Source organism: Homo sapiens, chromosome 10 (genome assembly GCF_000001405.40).
Source record: "Homo sapiens chromosome 10, GRCh38.p14 Primary Assembly".
Taxonomy (NCBI): Eukaryota; Metazoa; Chordata; class Mammalia; order Primates; family Hominidae; genus Homo; species Homo sapiens.
The window spans coordinates 84,991,965-85,000,039 of NC_000010.11; the positions used below are offsets into that span (position 1 = coordinate 84,991,965).

General features: G+C 41.7%; 1 long non-coding RNA gene across 2 annotated transcripts in view; it reads right to left on the minus strand.

Annotated features, from left to right (window-relative positions):
- The window catches only part of LOC107984249 (uncharacterized), a 46,275-nt gene extending 45,190 nt beyond the window's left edge, over window positions 1–1,085 (minus strand). For both annotated transcript variants that reach the window (XR_001747521.2, XR_001747520.2), the window contains exon 1: window positions 1,015–1,085. This is a non-coding gene — a long non-coding RNA (uncharacterized LOC107984249). The remainder of the gene's footprint in view (window positions 1–1,014) is intronic.
- Between the last annotated feature and the right edge of the window lie 6,990 nt (window positions 1,086–8,075).

The window sequence follows — 8,075 nt, forward strand, 5'->3', positions numbered from 1 at the left end:
CCTGCCTAACTGTTGTCAACCTCTGCATGGGTAGCCCCTGATTTATGGAAACTTCTCCCTTCATAACCACACTCCAAGGGCCACTAGTGGACAACCAGTTTCTAAGAATTTTACTTGCCCTCTATGACTCCATCTCCACAGTCTGATAAGTGTTCAAACTCTTCTCTTTAGTATTTAAAACACTGAGAAACTTTCATTATCTTTCCCCAAACCCCCTCACCTTATGTCCCACCACTCTCATGCCTATATGAGGGGCCTATATGCCTATTGCATCTTTTCAAAGCAAATTGACTAAACAGTGATATCCAGACGACATCACTGGAATTGTGCTTTCCTGTCCCAACCAAACTACTCATCTCTCCGAAACCCGATTGTCCCTCCTTATAAGTGGCAAGTTAAGAAACAATAGATTCATCCTCATTCCTCTCTTTATCTCACAAAGCACATCCAATCAATTGGCAAACTCTTTCAGTATTACCTCCAAAATTTCCCTTAGTTCCAAGTGCTGTACTCCAAACCACCTCCAAAGCCACCGTGACAGCACAAGCCACTATACGCTGTCAGATCATATTAATGATCTCCTGATAGGTTCCCCACTTCCATCATTGCTCCCCGATAGTCTATAGTCAACACAGCAGCCAGTTCATTCTTCTGGAATGTAGCCCAGATCATGCTATCATTTGTTCAAAGCCCCCTTTCATTTCTTCTCTGATGTCTTCTCCTAATGACCCCTCCACCATCAACTCATTCCAGCTATACTGCCTCCTCACTTTTCCCTGGAAACCTCAGACATGTTCATTCCAAGGATGCTGAGTACTTGCTGTCCCCTCTACCTGGAAGCCTATTTCCATGTACATTTGCAAGACTTATGATATCACATCCTTTAGAACGCAGATAAAATGTCAACTGCTCTGACTCCACTACTTAAAATTATAACCTACTCCGCAACTCCAAGAAATCCTTATTTAATTTTTCCCCATAGCTCTGTTCATCATCTGACACTATTTCACTTACCTTTTCACTCATTTCCTGTTCCCTCTGCAGGAACTTTATCTGTTTTGTTTTCTCATTTACCTGCATTTTCTAGAGTGGACCTGGACCTAAGGCAACTGCTCAATTATATTTGCTGGATAAATCAATCAATGCCTTCTCTTGCTTGATTAACCCTTCCCTGGACAGGAAATTTCTTCTCAATACCTAACTAAATCTAGCCAATTCTCAGAATGTAGGCACCTTTTTTACATCTTCCAAGAAGTCTTTCTCATTATTCTTCCTAACTACTACATTTCCTGAAGTTACGATAATAGATGGAAAAAGACCAGTAGAAATGATTGCATGTTTATCCGGAAAATTGAGAATGGGATTGTGGGTCTTTATGACAATTTCAACAAGTAGGTGGAGGCACAAAAAGTGACCAAAAAAAAAAAAAAAAATCTGTGTGAAGCTACCATCTGTGCTGCAAAGCTATTCCCTCTGAACTTGCTGAACCACTTTCTCAGACTCTACTGGGCTGAAGTAGAGACATTCACGGATTTAAAAAACAATGTTTCAGGCAGACAAAGAAGCAAGAGAAAATAACAGAAAAGATAGCTGCATATTTTAGCCTACTGGTTATCTGTTGCTGCGTGATAAACTACCCCAGCACTTAATGGTCTAAAACAGCAGGTGTTTATTACGGATCACAAATTTATGAACAGGCAGTTCTGTTGATTTGCGCCGGACACCACTGACGCCTTCTGGGTTTGCTTAGGTGTTTTTGTCAGCTGGTAGGTGGTAGAGGGCTGGCTGGTCTTGGGTAGCTTTGCTCTCCTTTCTGGCATTAGCCGGCAATTTTGAAGAATGACAGGGGTGACTGGGCCACACATCTGTTGTTTTTCAGTATACTGACCTGAGCTTGTCCTCCAGGTGTCAGGGCTCCCAGAGGTTCATGGAAACACCTAAGGTTTCTTGGGGACTGGGGGAACTTACAACTGTGCAGTGTAACCATATATACTGTCCCAAGAGTTTGATTTTAATACTTCAATTCTCATAGACAAGTTTGGGACAGAAGGTTAATTGCAAGATCAACCTCTTTGCATATATACTGAAACCTTCAAATATAGAATAAAAGAACTTTAAAAGACAGTATCTTGCTTTACTTAGGAAGAGCTTGGAATGCATTTAGCCACATGCAGCACTCTGCAAAAGTGTGCATGGCCTTTCAAGCTTGAAGAGAGAAGACACAAACATCAAAAACAGCCTGTTCCCTTCAGCAGTCAGAACCCAGAGGGGTCGTCAGAGTCTCTGAGCTCCAGGCTTGGGGTAAATAAAAATTTATGTCTTGTACCTTGTGCAATGAGGCAAAAGGAAAAGACTGAAATAAACATGGGGAAAGAGACAGAGGACTTGATGGATATGAGGAGATTGTGGGATAAAGAAATTCAGAGAAAGTCAGCTGGGTGAGGGAGGAAGTAGGCTTGAGAACCATTGTGTCCAGGGCCTTTTGGCTTTGGGGCTGCTTGGCCTCATTTTGAAAAGATGTTGCTGAAACAGTGTTTATGCTGCATGATACAATAATACTGCAGATTGTCAAATGAGGCCAAATCCTAGGTGGTAAGGTAGGATCCCCGCAGGGCAAGTCTTGGAAGCTGTTTCTTCTTCATTTCTCACATTTTAATATTTTACCAAATTGCTTGATGTCAGCTATGTCGTAATTTAATTTTCTTGGAAATTAGCATGTTTCAGTTTGTTTTTCTTACTCACTATTTTGGAGACAGCCTGGTTAAAACCTTCCCACTCATGAAATTTCTAGTCAAAATATTTTAGGAAGGAAGCTCAAACATTCATTGTTTGCCTCATTAAAAATTAACTCAGGCAGATGGAGAAAGAATACAATGTGTGCTTTCCTCTCAGTCAGATTTATTGTCTGTCCCTGCCTTCATCCAGCACACTAGGACATAATCTTTCTCCACAAGGGCCATAGGACCAGGTGCAAGAACACAGCTGCATTTTTTCAGAAGTGAGACTGAGGTTAAGATATCTTGTGGTGGTCACACAGATTGAGAAGTGGAGTCGGAGCTGGAGCTGCAGTTATGGGGACAAGATCAGTGTTGCCCTCTAGTTTTGTCCATTTGCATTGCTATAAAGGAATGCTTTGAGACTGAGTAGTTTATTTAAAAAAGAGGTTTATTTGGCTCACAGTTCTGCAGGCTGTACGTGAAGCATAGTGCTGGCATCTGCTTCTGGTGAGGGCCCCAGGAAGCTTACAGTCATGGAAGAAGGTGAAGGGGAGCCAGCATGTCACGTGGAATGAGAGGGAGCAAAAGAGAGGGAGAGGAGGTGATGCCAGACTCTTTTAAACAACCAGGTCTCATGTGAACTCATAGAGTGAGAACTTCATTCTTGTTACCTCCAGAACAGCACCAAGACATTCATGAGGGATCCGCCTTCATGACCCAAACACTTCCCACTGGGCCTACTTCCAACAGTGGAGGCCATATTTCAACTTGAGATTTGAAGGGGACAAAACATCCAAACCATATCACTCTCAAAGCATCGTAGCAGGACAAGAAGGAGGCCTCAGACTTTCCTAGTGCAGAAAACATTAAGAAAACATGTCTTCTCTAAACCCTAACCTCAAGGGAATATATTAGACATTGTGCCTGCCCTCCATCTGTTCTTGGGTCCCCTGCCTGTGAAATACCTTGGATCCTTTGCTTTTGGTTCAGTCATGCGTTCATTTCTGCAAGGGCTCATCCACCCCCTCCTATGTGCCAGGTTCTCTCTTAGGTGATGCAACACAGAAAACAACATATTCCTTGCCCTCATGGAGATCATAGTGTCACAGGAATTTGCATTATAAGAATCTACTGAGCAACACAAGTCTTCTGATGAGGCAAGTACAGGATCTTGTAGGAGCACATAGGAAAGGCATCTGACAAAGCCTGAATTATTGACATGTATGTTTGGGAACATGGCTCCCATTCTCACTTCTTGCAATTTTTTTTTCACTCCAGAACACAGGGAAGGGTGAAAATCTGTTGGGAAAGATGTCATCATCGTCTTTCCAGGGCTGGGCAGGCCACTGAACAGTCATGTGCTACTCTCCACCTTGGACAACAGAATCTTGAAAATGGTTCATGGCCCAGAGCCTGGAAGCTAAGTCTTTTGCAAGGAGATGAACCCTAGGGAGAGAAAAGGGGTCACCATATTTTCTACCCTCACCCAAACCTGATTCTATCCCCAAACAGTGCCACTCTTCATTCTATTCCTCATTATCTGAGGATAGCAGTGTTGAAGAGCCATAATGCTCAGACATTACGATCAGCAGTTTCACAGACTTGATATCATTTAATCTTCCCAACGGTGCTCTGAAGGAGTTACAATTTGTCCCTGTTTTATAGATAAAGAAATTGAGACAGAGAGCAATTTGTTAACTTACAGACCCATCATGCTCATCCTCAAATAAGTGAACACACTTCTGCCTGAACTCTCAAGCTCTAGTTCTCTGCCCACTTTGATTCTCAAATAGAGACAAAGGTGGACAGCAGAGAAGGCTCCTGAAGCTTCTTTTCAGAGATCTTCTGGGGCTCCCTAGTATGCAAAGAATCCAGTCTCAAGCAAAGAATACACTCCAAGAGTATCTTGGAATGTAGGCCTCTCTATTATCAGTTAATATTGCTTTCAAATTCAAATCCATTTTTCTAGCTTCAGCTCTTCTCCAGTCTGTCTTTCTCCTCTGCTGCAGTGACTCCCAAATACTCACTTGTCTCTCAATGTGTCCTTCAGGTTTCACGGCACGCCCCCCACTCCGCCCTCCCTCCTTGTTGTTTATATGTTCTCACTGCTTGAAAGGTCCTATATATTGCCATTTCTTGAAATTGCCCTTCCTTCAGAGACCAGCTTTCACCATAAAACTTTCTTTTATGCCTCCCAGGAGAATATAAACTTACTGTCTTTCATGCTTATAAATCTCTGCAATAAAATTTTATTATACCCCTTCCCTCTGTTGGCTTTTTGCTCTGTCTTTCCCACTAGAACAGGAGCTCCTGGAGGGCAGGGGCAATGCTTATGTTGTATCCTGCACAATGCAAATCACGTGTCAGCCCTGCACACAATGTCTCAGTTCATATCTAGGGATTGCAATAAGAATCTACTGCCAGGTCCTTCTCAAACAACTTTCTGGGCTGAAGCCAGGGGCTGGGGGTACAATTGTTTGCTTACTGGTTTCAGGCTACTTATCTCTCAGAACTCTCAATTTCCTCACATGTGAAGCAGGATTATAAATACTTGATGAGACATAATGCCAGAATCCAGATATCTGAATACTTGATTTCTGTTCTGACACATCCTATACAGGAGAAGGATAGTATGAAGAATATGTGTACAGGGCAATGCCGGAGACATAGTCTTGGTTTCTAGCATGTGATCTAGCTCCCATGGCCCCTACTCTGGTGACTTGATTGGCCCTTGTGCAGACTAAACAGAGTAGCTATTCTCTTGGTCCAAGAGCTACGCTCGACGGCAGGCTTCAGAGGCTTGCTGCACAGATCTTTCTTCAGAGCTCTTTCCTGGCTCCCACTTGGTCTTATGAAGTCAAAAGCAAAAGACTGTCACAAGTTCTATCTTATTGATAGATAAGATTGTTCTATCTTATTGATAGAAAGATAAGGCCCCTCACAGAAGGGTTTTCTGAAGCCTAGTTCTGTTTATGTACATTTCACTTTCCCCTAAAAAATTCCTACCCTGCTGGAATCTGTCTGTTTGACTAACTGCATGTTCTGAAGTGTACCTTTTTATCTTCCAGTCATTTCAAAGCCCTGCCTTGGTAGGAAAGTAGTATGCATACATGTGTTTGGGACAGATTTTTTTTTAATTTTAAACTAATTATTTGAATAATAACATCATGACCTGAATTAGGCAGATGCATAGTGGAAAAAAATAATATACTGTTGTTGGTGTCAAGTTTTTCCTTATACCAACAGTAACACCTTGGGAAGTTTTATTAATGCCTCTAGCCTTTCATTGTAAAATAGAGATGATTATGTTTACCACCTAGGGCTGTTTGAGCATCAAATAAGATAAAGTGTGTGACGATCTTATCACAGTAATTGGCATGAAATAGGTGTTTGATACATGTTGGCACCTTTTTTTCTCTCTTTAAAGTTAACCAACAAGATCCTTTTCTCATCTGATTACAAGTAGTCAGTTTCTTATGAGGGCCATCTGGGAAGTCAGAACTAGAAGCTTATGCTAATTTTATGACCTCATCACATTCTGTCATCAAAGAAAAGAGCACGATCTAGGGCTGATTCCAAACTTTCTGCAGAAATGAATTTTTTATACCTACCTGGTGCTTTGGAGCCATCCTAGGCTATTTAGTACTTGAATGTTTAACAAACTTGCTTAAGGCTCTTAGATTAAACCCGGTGGTTTTTGCTCCAAATTGCTCAGATCTCAGTAGTAGATTTTTGCCCCATGGAAAATCATGGACATTACTGATCTGTAAGAAATAAGTATCATTTTATCTTTGGTTAAGATGGTGTCATTGTCATCATCATGACCTCTCCTAGCTGCCAGGAACTCAACACACTGTTGCTTGGGGTCACAAAGACCCATCACCTGCTCCCAGCCACTCTTTCCCTGACCCTCCCAGACATTACTCCTGGAGCAGGGTGTCACCCGCTGCTTCTCTGGAAGTTGGGCTTGAAGCAGAATGGAATGAACCACTCAAACCAGAAAGATCCCCACTCCACTCTCTTCTGGTTGTATTATGTACCCATAGTTTTTCTCAAAAAGTTCTTGAGAAACGGGGTGAGGAGGTATAGCTAGAAGATTTTTCATGAGCCTCAGGGAGTCAAAATGAAGCCTTTCAATGCCCACATTTTGACTACAAGCAGATGCCAAGCGATGATGGGAGGGAGACTTGGGCAGTCCTCCTCCTAAGACAGCCAGTGCAGTGAAGTTATTGAGAGCATGGGTTTGTAGTTAATTGCTACCACTGTGAGTCTAAAATCTGCATAGATGTGTGACCATAGTCCAAGTCCTGAGCTTCTCCATGCCCCACTTGCCTCCTCTGTGCAATAGTCATAACACTACTCAATTCACGCTGTTAGGAGGATTAAATAAGACAATTAATGTAAAATGTGTACGTAGTATTTGACACTACTCTATAAACACTGCAAAGTAACTTAACAGTGAGGACCTTCAAGTCACATTATGCATTCAAGAGTTTAGAAATTACTGAATGACAAGAATCCAAAGCAGTTTGAATTGGATTATCAAAAAACAAAAGGATAATAGTTTACCTGGGACAAATGTTAATTAAGTAGGGAGAACAACAAAGCATTTTCTCTTCTTATTTAAGTTACGTAAAAGCTTTATTTATTATAATCTTTAACATTTTATCTCAATTAGACATTGGGCCAGTCATAGCCAGGAAGGCAGTGGCTGATTGGATTTGCTGGTGATTCTCAGGCTTGCATTTTCTTATTGATTCATCTCCCTTTACTGTCTTCCTGATTTCCCCCACCATGAAGGAGGATGAATTCACCATGACAGAGAAACAGTTCACTTGCCCCCAGATGAGGCATAGCTTCCCCTGAATGGAACAACTTAAGCAGGTGTACTGGCCTACAAAACTACTGTGCCCTAATGGCCACCTTCCATTCCCTCTGGCTATGACTTATTTCTGTCACCCTGTATTTTGTCCTCTAGGCACAAAGAGAACCATAGCTCATAACAATGGCATATTGTCCCAGTTGCATGTACGTGCCTGTACATTTGCCTCCACACACAAAATAACATGAAAACACAAAGATGTATTTACAGGCATTCACACAAATATGCAAGGTCAGGTGAGAAGTACTCTGATAAACATAAATACCATGTGGCCACATTTAATAGATATAAAAAACAATACTTGCAAACACACTCATCCGTGCCCACTCTCACACAGACACACACAAACATCAAACACACACACACACACACTTTGATCATGTGACTATCCTGCAGGACTGTGGAGTACATATAGTACAAATAGACAATTCTGCTTGTTTTAATCACATTTTTTTTAATGAGATTTCTCTAGATCC